The sequence below is a fragment of the Homo sapiens genome, chromosome 6 (assembly GCF_000001405.40).
Source record: "Homo sapiens chromosome 6, GRCh38.p14 Primary Assembly".
NCBI lineage: Eukaryota > Metazoa > Chordata > Mammalia > Primates > Hominidae > Homo > Homo sapiens.
In genome coordinates, this window is record NC_000006.12 from 116,654,603 (window position 1) to 116,668,837 (window position 14,235).

Consider the following 14,235-nt stretch of genomic DNA (forward strand, 5'->3'; position numbering starts at 1 on the left):
AATTAAAGGCACTATATATAACATTTAAACACAAACCACAGGCCTGAAAAAGATATTTGGATTTCATATAACTAATGAAAGAATAGTGTTCTGAATACTTAACAGTCTCCTATAAATCAGTAAGAACAAACAACTCAATAGAGAATAGAGAAAGGAAGAGAACAGGTAATTCGTTCAAGAGGAAACTAACTCAGGAGTAATCCAGAAAATGCAAATTAAAACATGTATCATCTCATAACCTGTTAAATAGCAAAAATTTAAAAGTGTCACCATACTATGTGTGAAATACACTGGTGTGAATGTAGATTACAAGCACTTTGGAAAACAATTCTATAATAACCTTAACAACGTTGAAGATTTGCACGCCCTTTAACTTAGCATTCCAGTTCTGGATGTAATACTAGAGAAACGCCTGAAGTAGACATGTTCATAAATTATAAGAGTAGAAAACTGGAAGCAATCTAAATGTTTATCAATATGAAAACAAGATAAGTTAGCTATAATTAGCTACATCCAGTTCTGGATGTAATACTAGAGAAACTCCTGAAGTAGACATGTTCATAAATTATAAGAGTAGAAAACTGGAAACAATCTAAATGTTTATCAATATGAAAACAAGATAAGTTAGCTACAATTCATACAAGGAAATACTACACAGCAGCTAAAATGAATGAAGTAGAACTGTAAGAACCAATATATTTGAGCAAAACAATTTATAGCATACATGTTGTATCCCATTTATATATAAACACCTGCAAAATATTTTATGGAAATGTACATACATGGTAAGAGTACTAAAGCATGTATGAGACTGATAAATATCAAACTTGGGATAATAGTTCCCTTGTGGGGAGGGCAAATTAGAATTAGAAAAAGTGTACATAAAGGGCTTTGAATACCTATCAAAGGTGTTGAAGCTTTAAAAACTTTTAAGTAAATATGGCAAAACATTAAGATTCAAAAAATCTGGGTGACAGTAACAAAGTTGTTTCCATAAAAAGTCTGTTAATATACTAATATATACAAAGAAAAAAATTTTAATACTCATCAGAAAAAAGCCATATTATGGGGCAAGGAAGATTTGATTAGGAATAACCAGCTGTGTAACCTTGCTTTGGCAAAGTCACTGTAACTTCTCTAAGCAACAGTGACCTCATTTGGAATATATAACAGTACAGGAGAGGATGTTTTGAGTTAAATGATACAATGTATATAGAGTTGTTAGTGTCTAAAAATGTACAAACAATAAAATAGCCAATAGCCATTTGTGGCTATCGAGAATTTGAAATGTGGCTGCCCAATTGAGTTGTGCTGTGAAGTAGAAAATACACAATGGATTTTGAAGAATGTATAAACAATGTAAAATGTCTCAGTAATAGTTTTAATGTTGATTACATGTTGAAATAATAATATCATGGATACACTGGTTTAAACTATTTAAATTAACTTCCCCTGTTCCTTTTCACTTTTTTTTGTTTTTTTTTTGTTTTTTTTGAGATGGAGTTTCGCTCTTGTTGCCCAGGCTGGAGTGCAATGGCGCAATCTCGGCTCACCGCAACCTCCGCCTCCCGGGTTCAAGCGATTCTCCTGCCTCAGCCTCCCTAGTAGCTGGGATTACAGGCATGTGCCACCACGCCCAGCTAATTTTGTAATTTTTTTTTAGTAGAGATGGGATTTCTCCATGTTGGTTAGGCTAGTCTCGAACTCCCGACCTCAGGTGATCCGCCTGTCTCAGCCTCCCAAAGTGCTGGGATTACAGGCATGAGCCACCGCGCCCAGCCTCCTTTTCACTTTTGTTAATGTGGAGCCAGGAAATTTAAAATTATATATGTGGCTCACATTATATTTCTCTTAGCACTCTCTAGAGCATAGCTTTTTAAATGTCAAGTAACATAATATAAAAGTAAATTTTTAAGTGAATTATTTATCATAAAAATAATTCAGAAGTTTTAAAACAATACATTTTTAAAAAAATATTTGTGCACAGATTATGAAAATTAAGCAAAATTAAAATGATTCTGATTATTACTTCAGTGGTATAAGCAATATTAAAACAATGACTCTGATGTTTAAATACTCACCGGAAGTTTTTGTTTTTCCATCGTCAAAACCAAGAGCTAATGATTCCATCATATCAGCTTTTCTCCTATGAAATTCAGATGGAGGCATTCTTCCCCTATTTACTTCTATCTCCATATTTCGTAGTTGTTGTTGTTTGTATCCTCCAGAATTATCTAAACCATATTGTCTCTATTGAACATAAAAATAAATGACTTAATTTTTACATCCCTGTAACTCTATGAGGATGGAAACTTATTAAAATTTTATTTGGAAACATGTTGAAACATTCTGGTTTATAGACTTTATACAAGTTAACTTAAAGATTTTTACAAAAACTAATAACACACACACACACACACACAAAAAAAAATTATTGACTTAATAAGCAACCACTTCTTTATAATCAATCTCCAGGGCAAGAGACTTGCTTTTCCTGTAGTAGGGAAAGCAGAGGATCCTGTCTTTCTACCTCAGGTATTGGGAGATGCAGAAGAGTTCTGAATGCATTGCTGATTTTTTCAAGGAAACTTGTCAGTCCTTGTTATTTGGTTCCCAGTCTAGTCCATAAAGGCCTACTTAATCCATAATTCATTTAGTCAGTCATGTTACACAGTAAATGAACTATGTTTTGTACACTGGACAGAAATCTCAAATAGTATGTATAAAACTATGGAAAAATTGTCTATGGAAAAGTTTTCACGGAAACTTTTCTACAGAAAAATTTTCTGAGATCTAAACAACTAACTTGCAAAATTACATAACCTCCTTAAATATTGGAAACTTTTTGTATTGATCATGTTTTAAATTACATAAGGCATAAAAGTCTTAAGAAAAGCCAATTTTCTTTCCTATTTTGCAAGTATTGTGAGTCACCAGTGAGAAAAAAATCCTACATTAGGTCTTCCAAAGCACATTCTAAGCAACAATACTCATGTGAGATGTCTGAGAAAAAAAGAGAGGTCAAACAAGTCTGGGGAAATTGTGATATGTACATGCACATTAGTATATTAAAGGCTTTGAGAAGTCCCAAAGTATACAAACCTGTTTAACTGAACACTTTCAAACCTATTCAACTGTAAACCCTTTTTATGTATGCACTATCCTATCATCACTAAAAAAAGAACATTTAAAAACTATAAGCAATAGGCCAGGCACGGTGGCTCATGCCTATAATCCCAGCACTTTGGGAGGCCAAGGCAGGTGGATCACCTGAGTTTAGGAGTTCAAGACCAGTTTGGCCAACACGGTGAAACCCTGTCTCTACTAATAATACAAAAAAATGAGCCAGGCATGGTGGTGCACACCTGTAATCCCAGCTACTTGGGAGGCTGAGGCAGGAGAATCACTTGACCCTAGAAGGCGGAGGTTGCAGTGAACCAAGATTGCACCATTGCATTCCAGCCTGGGCGACAAGAGTGAAACTCCGTCTCAAACAAACAAACAAACAACAACAACAAAATCTATGAATCTATGAGCATTATTAGCACAGATAACACTACAGTCTACAAATTAGGACTGAAAAAAGGAAAAACAGACATTAAAATTTTAAATGCATTAAAAATATAACAGATGCTACCAGTTTAGTCCAACAGGTAAAACCACCCACCTAAGATAAATGAAGCCTCAAATATCATTTAAAAAAAGCATTTTCCCATAAAATAGTTGTAAATGTTTGAAATTGCAATCTGTAAAATAATTTAAGACTCAGGAGACATTAATTCTAAGTATAAATTTCGCTTCCAAGCATCTATACAAACACTTAAATTCTGAGTCTTGGTTTCCTAATTTGTCCCATCAACTTACACAGGTTTGAATGCAAGCTTTATCACTAATTAGCTGCCTGACACTGAGCAAATTACTTAACCATTCTCTGTCTCCATTTCTTCATCTGAAAAAAAAGGGGGCGTGGGAGGGCCTAAAGTAACTTCTTCATGAATATGTTGCAAAGATTTTGAGATATTGTATGTGAAGTGATTACCCCTGTGCCTCACTAGAATGAATATTTATAAATGGTGTCTGTTACAAACATGTATAAATTTTTTTTGAATAATAACAAGGACAAAAATAATACACTGGAAAGCATATTTGAAAAATAACTTTACCAAATCAAAATATTATAATTGTTATTAATCTTTGTACCTGCAGCTTCTGAAATTCTTCTATTTCTTGTCTTGATTCTTCAGATCTCCTCTTTCTGTCTTCTTCTTGCTGAAGCTGGTGAGCCAATTGTAGATCACCAGAACACTGGACTCTATCCATGCCTGTTAGGTATTGTTAATGTTCAGAATAAAATAACTGTTGCAATCAAAGATTATTTATTATTTAATATATGTTTTTAAAATAGAGTAAATGCTGTTATTTGCCATTTATTCATGACTGTGATGATATGGAACTGAGTACAAATTTAGCAAAACTTAGAACTGCTTTGGTAAGGAATAACCTCCATCTAAATGACAACTAACAGTCACTGTTTTTTGTTTTTTGAGACGGAGTTTCGCTCTTATTGCCCAGGCTGGAGTACAATGGTGCGATCTCAGCTCACTGCAACCTCTGCCTGCCAGGTTCAAGTGATTCTCCTGCTGCAGCCTCCTGAGTAGCTGGGATTACAGGTGCCTGCCACCATGCCCAGCTAATTTTTGTATTTTTAGTAGAGATGGAGTTTCGCCATGTTGGTCAGGCTGGTCTCAAACTCCTAACCTCAGGTGATCCACCAGCCTCGGCCTCCCAAAGTGCTGAGATTACAGGCGTGAGCTACCATGCCCAGCCTCACTAAGTGTTTAAAGCTGTGACAAGCACTTTTCATTAATTATATCATTTGATCTTTGTAACAATCTTATGAAGTAGTTATTATTATTTACTGAGGAAACCAGAATTTTAAAACGTTAAGTAACATCCTGCATTGATACTCCTTAACATAACTAAGGCAGATTGATTTTTCAAAGAAATACTAGGGGAGAAAAAAAAAAAAATAAAGAGCATAAAAATACACATTTACAAAGTGCAGGTGTTAGATAATAATTTAATTACAGTTTGGCCCCCAAAAATGGTAAAACTTTGCAACATCTCATCCTGCATCTTCTCTACTCGGTGTCCCCCAGATCCATTTGTCAGTGGCTTCTGGCCACTATCTTGTCTCCTTAACCCCATGACCTGATGGTTTAATTATATCACTGACTATTCTTCCTTTCCTTTCAAAGTTCTCAGCTGCTGCTACATCTTCCTATTTGGTCACCCTTCCATTCTTGGGGATATACAAGTCACACTCAATGTTTAGTGTCCCCTGAGGTTATCTACAGTGATTTACTTAGACCATATCTTTTTCTTATTACCCACTATAGGTTTACACTGTAATATACGTGCTCATACAAAGCCTATCATAAATAAGAGTAAGAATTAGCAGACATTCAGAAACCACCAGAGCAGGGAACTTTTCCATCTTTGCCCCAATAATCTCATATTTGGCTTAGGGTGAGTGAGCAGTAACATTGTCCATGAACACCGATACTGGTACTAGGATCATTGATACTGGACACTAAAGACCTCTGCCTTAACAGAAGCTATCTACGTACCTTAAAAAACTGAAATAGGGTAAAACACAATTGGTTTCTCTTGGGATCTACTTTTTATTTTCGTTCAGTGGGCTTCTAACATTCATATAGGATTTTTCCACTTCTAAGCCACCATAATGATTATTTAAACAATGCCACTATTAAAAAACATAGGGGAGAAAGGAAAACTTTTATAGAATCACAATAAAACCAGTAAGTCATTTAGAAGCTATTCAAGCAGCTCAAGATGCACTGAAAGATGTTTTGGTTATATAGTTCACATTCATTTGTAAAATTTTATGTGCCATATGGCAGTTTTCTAGTTCAACAATTTTCGCTGACCAAATACAATATTCAGATACTTCTAGCTGCTAAAGAAATGGCCTCAACTTGTAAATAAAACACTTTTAAAGGAAAAGATGTATTTTAAAATATTTTTTCCATATCACAAATCTAAAAATTAGATATGTGTCCTAGAAAGTAGAAATTAAATGATATTTTTATCTTCAAACATATAAACATACCTTGCTGAAAGCTGTTTTCTTCCAAATGCAAGTCAACATGTTCCTGAAGAATATGGTAATTTGTACATATGAGCCCACACATAGGACAATCATAGAGTGGTTGATCACAGTCTGTATCAGAGATATAATTAAGTTGTTTTTATTTTTTTATTTTAATTTTTTTCTTTGCTTTTTTTTTTTTTGAGACAGGGTCTCACTCTGTTGCCCAGGCTGGCGTGCAGTGGCACCATCACGGCTCACTGCAGCAATCCTCCCATCTCAGCCTCCCAAGTAGATGGGGCTAAAGGCATGCGCCACCACGCCCAGCTAATTTTTTTTTTTTTAGAGATGAGATCTCACTATGTCGTCCAGGCTGGTCTCAAACTCCTGGACTCAAGTGATCCTTCTGCCTCAGCATCCCAAAGTGCTGGGATTACAGGCATGAGCCACCATGCCCAGCCAAGTTGGTTTTATTTTTATAACTTTTAGATTTTTTCACCCCATGTCAAAGACTGTCTACCACCTATTAACCTTATATAAGTAAAAGCTCTTTGTAGTGGATTTAAAAGCTATTTTTCTACTTCTAGGGTCGAGATAGAAGGCTGAGCATAGCACAAACCTCTCATACCACTCCAAAAAAAAAGGAAATATTAATAATAAATATTCAGATCTGTAGTCAAAACAAGAGAAGCAGAAAGGAAAACCAAAGTGGTAAGTAGGGCCCAGTCTGGATATGGGTTTTTAGGACTAAATTCTCAGCACCCAACAGAGTGGTAAGGTGCTGAACTTAAACATCCAGCATAAAGCTGGGAATTGGGGTAATACTGTCTACACAGGAGCAGGAGATTAAAGAGCTGCATCCATCACATAGCACTGCAGGCAGACAGGTCTAGCTTGCCAAAAACAGAAATTGTTCCTCTATAAGACCAAGACCTAGCAGATAAGGGACATAGAAGAGGGACCCAGAATTGTGCATATACACAGAGTGAAAGCATAGAGCAATCTGTATATGTAAGGCCTGGTCTGAAAGCAGAGACTGTGAACAGCCAGTGTGAAGGAACCATGAAACTGCTTCACAGGGAAGGGATCATATAAAACTCCCATAACAGATGAACACTAAAATTTGAATTGCTAAACTCACTGGGGGCTGCAATGCCAAGAAAAACAGCTAAGAAATCTACAAACTGAAAAAGTTACCTGTGAAGAAATGGAGCTACAGTAATCCATAATAAACTGTAAAATAAGTATGTTCAAAATGCTCACTGAAATAAAGGAGGGAACTGAATCTTTGAAACCAGGACAGAAAGTTACTAAGAAAAAATAGAAAGATGAAGAAAATGAAAATATTAAGATGTAATCATTGGAATAAAAAATTCAATGGCAAAGCTCAAGAGAAAATGAAGTATTAAGTACTCAGAAAATATTTCCAAAAGCAGCAGTAAGAAATAATGGTATACAGCTTCCATAAGTAATGCTGGCGGATGTAAGAGAAGTCTTTCAGCCAGTTCTCTACCATAAAATGCCTTAGAGCCAGAGCCAATGCCAAGGAGGCCTTTGCTTATCGCTTTGATCATCACACTACTGCAAGCCAATCCCTCCACCCCTTCTAGTTTTAAGTGATAACCAACCTTCCTCAACATTAGACCACACTACACCTCATATCCCAGTATACATTTTTTACCACCAGAATCTAAACTAAGCCTCAGAGGTTAGCCATCATCATCCAATGGAGTCATCTAGGGCTGATGTAACCACCAACACTGTTGTGTCAATGAATCCAATCTAATTGTTCAGTGGCAGTGTCTTAACAATCTTTAAATACCTGAAGGACATCTGCTAATCTGACCCAAGCTATTACCCCTCCTATTCTCCCAATACCTACCACAATGCCCTCAGAAATACCATCGGTCATCAGTCAGCTTCTCTATACACAAAATCTTTCTCTGGATATTCACTTCACCTTCTTGACTTAACTAAAATCTGGTTGGTTCATGACACCCCATTTTCTCTACAGCCCCCTAACACACAGGCAACTTTTCTTTCACAATTCAGGGCCCTAGAAGTAGAAGAGGCATCCCCTTTGCTCCCTTTCACCACTGTCAAACCTGTTTTAAGCCCCATTTTTGTAATAACTCATGTCACCATAATATGGCATCATCTACCTTTCTTAGTGCCTAATATTTTCTGAAGTCTTAGACACTCCTTTCATTTACTAAAAATGTTAACACCTGGATCAAAACCTTCTTTTCCTAGCCCCTATACTATGATCATTCTTAGCAACTTCAATATCCATAGAAATAGTTCTATGCCTTCATTTCCAACAATCTTTTCCTTTACCCTAATTTACCAACCGAATGACAAAAATTATACCCTTAATTTATCACTAAGTGAATCTCTGAAATCTCAATTTCAAATATCACTCCCAAACACCTATCCTTCTACCTCACTTCTTTTAATTCTACCACTCTAAAAAGTGTTTGACCTAACTAAAACCTCCTATATAGAATATACAAACCCTATTTTTCTGTCATTCATTACCCCCCTCATGTTTTTCTTTACTTTCCAGCCCAGATTCCACATATCTTCTCTATATGATAATCATTCCCTTAAAAACACCTGCAAATCCACCTGTTCCATTTACTATAACTGAACATTGGTTAAATCTAGCTATTTACCTATTTCACTTCTGTACTTCTAATGACAACAGGTCTTTTTTAACCGCAACTAAACATTCAGACTCCTAAGACTACCAAAATTCACCAGTTTACTGGTCCTGAGAAACTTACAGGAAATGTTGTGTCAGCAAAGGATTGTCAGGCATTTTTCAATACACTTGTTTTTTTTCCTTGCAGCAGTCCATAAATTTTCATTATTAGCAGATAATAAAATGATCTACTTAGAATACTCAAGGGAATTAATGTAGAATTATTAAAATTCGTTAACAGGCCAGACGCAGTGGCTCCCACCTGCAATCCTAATGCTTTGGGAGGCTGAGGAAGGAAGACTGCTTGAGCACAGGAGTTCAAGACCAGCCTGAGTAACATAGCAGGACCTCATTTCTATTAAATATTAAAAAAAAAAAATTAGCTGGGCGTGGTGGTGCAGGCCTGTAGTCCCAGCCCCTTGGGAGGCTGAGGCAGGAGAACCACTTGAGCCCAGGAGATCAAGGCTGCAGTGAGCCATGATCATGCCACTGAACTCCAGCCTGGGTGACATAGTAAGACCTTGTCTCAAAAAATATAAAATAAAATAATATTAGTAATAGTTGAATAAGACTAGATACCTCAACTATCTATAAAAATTGATAGTGTTTCTATAAAACTGCAAAAGTTTCTTAGATGAGAGGGAAAAAAATCTAATTTACAAAAGCAACAGAAAATATAAACTATACAGAAATAAAGCTAACACAAATGTGCAATGAAAAAACAACACAAGCCTGGGCGCGGTGGCTTACGCCTGTAATCCCAGCATTTTGGGGGGCTGAGGTAGGTGGATCATCTGAGGTTAGGAGTTCCAGACCAGCCTGGCCAACATGGCGAAACCCTGTCTCTACTAAAAGTACAAAAATTAACTGGGCCTGGTGGTGGGCAGTGGTAATCCCAGCTACTTGGGAGGCTGAGACAGGAGAATTGCTTGAACCTGGGAGGCAGAGGTTGCAGTGAGCAGAGATCGTGCCATTACACTCCAGCCTGGGTGACAGGGCAAAAGTCCATCAAAAAAAAAAAAAACACACACACACAAAATTGTATTAAAGGATACAAAAGATGACCTGAATTAATGGGGAGATGTACTTTGATCTAATTTAAAACAAAATGACAACAGAGTTTTTATGAAACTTGATAATATGGCTTTAAAACTCAAAGAAAAGAAAGAATGAGAAGGTCTAAGTTGATGATGAAAATGAAGAACGAGGGAAAAACTGTCCTATCTGATGTTGATGACATTTTACAAAATAGCTATTAAAGTGGTGGTGTAATAAGGGAACAAAAGTCACATAGATAAATACAGCAGAAGTAAGAGACCAGAAACTGGCCCACACAGATATGAAAATGTAATAAAAAACAGAAACCATATTATAAATCAGAGATATATCTGGTTTCTGTACAGGGAAAAACTAAAAATTAGATCCCAAGTTCACAAAATATACACATGTACACAAGTACAGACACACACACACACACACACACACACAATCCAGAAAAAATTTTAAAAAGTGAAAATATAAAACATTAAAGTTTTTAGAATATATGAGAATAGCTTTTTGAATTCAGAGTAAAGAATACTTTTTTAGACAATACATAGAAAACAAAAATAAAATTCAAATACTGCACAAAATTCAAGGATAAGCAACATCTTATGGAATACAGCTGAAGGATTAGTATTGAAAATATATTTTAAAAGCAACTGAAAAAAACTCAAAAAATATTTGACAATATACAGTTGAAAAATGCATGTAACTCAAGTGTACAAAAAATGTAATATGCAGTTCATAATAGAGGAAATTAAAATAACTATACAAAAAAAGATTGATTTCATAATCAGAGAAATGCATTAAAAAAGAATGTAGACACTGACTTCATACCTTTTACATAGAGTAATTCAAATGTATCACAGATCTAAATGTAAAATACAAAACTATCAAACTTCTAGAAGTTGGCAAAGAGTTTTTAGACACACCAAAAGCATGATCCATGAAAGAAGAAATTGTCAAGTTGCACTTCATTAAAATTAAAAACTTCTACTTCATGAAAGACACTGTTAAAAGAATAAAAAGACAAGCCACAGACTAAGAGAAAATATCTGCAAAATACACATCCAAAAAAGAACTTGTATCCAAAATACAGAAAAATTTTTCTTTTTTTTTTTTTTTTTTTTGGAGACAGGGTCTTATTCAGTCACCCAGAGTGGAGTGCGGAGTGCAGTAGTGTGATCATGGCTCACTGCAGCGTCCACTTCCCAGGCTCAGGTGATCCTCCTATTTCAGCCTCCCAAATAGCTGGGGCTACAGACGCAAGCCACTAGGCCTGGCTAGTTTTTTGGTTTTTTTTTTTTTTTTTGAAGAGACGAGCTTTTGCCACATTGCCCAGGATCGTCTCGAACTCCTGGACTCAAGGGATCTGCCCACCTCGGACTCTCAACTTGCTGGGATTACAGGCATGAGCCACAACACCTGGCTCCACAAATTCTTAAAGTTCAACAATAAGAAAAAGACATAAGATCCTAAATGTGTACACACCAACAATAGAGTCTCAAAATACATGAAACAAAACCTGACAGAGCTGAAAGGAAAAATAGATAAATTTACAATTATAATCAGGGATTTCAACAACCCCTTCTCAAAAATTGATAGAACTACTAGACAGTACTACTATAGAAAACAAGCAAGGATATAAATAATCTGAACATAAACAACAGGATCTAGTGACATACATATAACATTCCACCCAACAAAGCAGAATACACTTTTTTTTCCCAAGTATCCACAGAACATGACCAAGATAGCTCGTGTCTTGAGCCATAAAACAGGCCTCAACAAATTTAAAAGAACTGATATCACAGAGAGTTTGTTCTCCAATCATAACAGAATAATGGAGTCAAAATAGAACTCAATGCAAAGTCAGAGAGTCCAGGACAGTCCAGATGCTACTGGGTTAGTGACAATAAAAAGAATACCCTCTGGAAACTAGACAGAAAGTTCCAAAACTACTCTCAATGTAGCTGAAACATTTTATATCTGCATTAAAATTCTTTTCCATAATGTACTTTTATATTTCAGTAACAGCAAATGAAAAATGTTATAGACATAAAATGGATTTCAAAACACATCTGTAGTAAGCTGACTTACAAACCAACTTTTAAAATACCACATATTAAATTGAGGCTGTAAACTTATAATTTATAATGAAATGAAAACTTTACCTTCCAATGGAATGTCTAAAAGATTGGCATGCTTTGTTTTCACATGAGTTTCCATATCTTCACTGTGCTCCTCTATTTTTCCACAGAATGGACATTCAGGAGGACTGTATGTTGTTTCATAAACAGATCCTTTTATTTCGGTCAGGCTGGACTGTTTTTCCCTACTTTTCAGGAATTTTCTAGATTCAGTTAAGTTCTCTGAATAGAAGCCTTCATGTTTTAAAGTACTATCTTTAGTCAGGTTTTGAGCTGAATTTTTTGGATGATTAGATGCACAACCTGAAAGAATACTTGAATTAACTTCCATTCCACACTGTAGGGTGTTGTCTTTCTTGTTATCTGAAGTTCCATATTGTACTGTATTTATCCTCTCAAAGTTTCTTTCAAGTGTATTCTGCTCAAAATGAGCTGTTTCGATATGAAAACACATTTCATCATAATTCACACCTGACAACTTGCAAAATGGACATATAATTTCACTTTCCATGTGAACAATTAGGTGAGCTTTCATGTCTGGTTCTGAGGTTACTGTTTCACCACAAATATTACAGGAAAGCATGGTATTGACAAGTAGCTAGAAAAGAACATAACATTAGGTTTCAAAGATTTGAAGAAAAAATGTGTTTCATAAAATGATTTGAGACAATTACTTGGTCTTTAACGCTGGATTATTTTGATGAAGAAGTTTTCAATGTACTTACTGTTCCTCAAATACAAAAACTTATTTATAAATATCAACCAAAATTTCATTTATTTTTTTTTAAAAAAAGGCAATAATAATGAATACAAGTAATTTTAAAAATAAAATATTTCAAAAAATGTCTCTGGCCCAAGGTGGAGAAAAAATAACGTTTAAAAAATTGTCCAGGTAAGATAAATCAGGTAAGAAAAAAATGAAGAGAAGAAACCTATTTATCAACTGATATATCTAAATACTGAATACTGAAGCTGATTATATTGAGGAGGTAAATAAACACATCTTACAAGTAGAGTTTAACACTGTAAACTTAGAGTCTTACATGTATCAAGTGCTATTTAAGTGCTATTATTGTAATTTAAGTACTATTATTATCGCTCTACACATAAAGAAATTCTGGCTCAGACAGGTCACCACAAGCAGAAAAAGGTGGAAGCCAAAATGCCAACCCCGTCGTGCTCCACAGCCTGTACTCTCAGCCCCAAGAATAAAAGCAGAAGTGGTATAGTAGAAAAAAGCACTTATTCCAGAGTCAAGAGAACTGGGTAATAATTTCAGATTCATCATTTTGGGTAAGGAATCTCATCTCTCTGAGGTTCAGTCAAAGACTACTGTAAAATCCAAAGGTAGTTATTTTTGGATTTTATGGACAAATAAAGTACTGACTACTGACATAAAAGTGTTAAAAAAATAATTTTAAAAAAAGCAATCACTTCGCCACCACCTTCCTACTACAGGTCATCGTTCAGCTAAAGACTATTTAAAATCAAACAGGAAAAGTAATGACACTATCACTTCATTTAAATAAATTTACCTTTAAAATACCTCCCTACATTGTCCTTATTTTTTTCATTTCTCTCCAGACAAATGGATACAGTCTCTGATTTTAGAAGGCAGTTCTCCCGAGCCCCCAGTGGGATTAATGTCACACCCGGAGTTTCTTCTCTTCCGGTGGCTGGGACACGGTCAGACACAGAATGATGAACTTGGACATGGACTCAGATTAAGCGGGTAAGAGACAAGAGAGTACCCAGGTGCCTCAGAGGAAGCGAGTGAGAGGCATGAAGGACCCAGTGCCAAGCTAGGTACGTGGTGGGTGAGGTCAGAAGACCGCAAGGCCGAGTCTCCCAAACGTTCCGCGCCAAAGGCACAAGCCAGGCACACGAAACTAGCAGGCACTAACTGGGTCAAAGCTTTGGGCCTGGGGAATAAGGGAGGGGACCATCAATTCTTACCGGCCCAGAGGCCAGCAGCTGCCACACTGAGCTCCGCTAGGCTTCCCCTTTGGGCCTCGCTGGCAGACGAGTGCGTGCGCGGCGTCCAGTACCTCTCCTGGCCTGATGACTGAGGCCAGGCCTTCCCAATACGCAGAGTTTCACAGTTAACCGAGGAAAGAATTAGGAACTTCCAACACCTTGGCCCTCAGTACCTCATTCAAAAGCACTTCCTTACTCCCACGGAAAAGAAGTAATCCCAGAATGCGCCGCTCCACGCCGGTCTCTATGCA

The 14,235-nt window shown here is 36.2% G+C and overlaps 1 protein-coding gene across 8 annotated transcripts in view, besides 2 other annotated features; it reads right to left on the reverse strand.

Annotated features, from left to right (window-relative positions):
* Positions 1-14,164, reverse strand: part of ZUP1 (zinc finger containing ubiquitin peptidase 1) — a 33,149-nt gene extending 18,985 nt beyond the window's left edge. For 4 of the 8 annotated variants that reach the window (NR_154587.2, NR_154586.2, NR_154588.2 and 1 more), the window contains exons 1-5: positions 13,964-14,164; positions 12,032-12,605; positions 6,134-6,244; positions 4,201-4,322; positions 2,082-2,250 (exon numbers count right to left, since the gene is read on the reverse strand). Coding sequence is in view for 4 of the 8 variants with exons in the window: in NM_145062.3 (NP_659499.2) it covers positions 2,082-2,250; positions 4,201-4,322; positions 6,134-6,244; positions 12,032-12,590 (961 nt within the window). In the remaining 4 variants the exon portion in view is untranslated. Of the gene's footprint in view, positions 1-2,081; positions 2,251-4,200; positions 4,323-5,630; positions 5,768-6,133; positions 6,245-12,031; positions 12,606-13,542 lie in introns of all 8 variants that reach the window. The other 4 variants (NR_154589.2, NM_001361190.2, NM_001361189.2 and 1 more) reach the window with 4 other exon arrangements.
* Positions 13,088-13,237: a silencer, noted in NCBI's record as "silent region_17497". NCBI's record gives its function as "represses an Ori minimal core promoter by ATAC-STARR-seq in GM12878 lymphoblastoid cells {active_cell/tissue: GM12878}" and the evidence as "EXISTENCE:reporter gene assay evidence [ECO:0000049][PMID:35858748]".
* Positions 13,999-14,188: an enhancer, noted in NCBI's record as "active region_24999". NCBI's record gives its function as "activates an Ori minimal core promoter by ATAC-STARR-seq in GM12878 lymphoblastoid cells {active_cell/tissue: GM12878}" and the evidence as "EXISTENCE:reporter gene assay evidence [ECO:0000049][PMID:35858748]".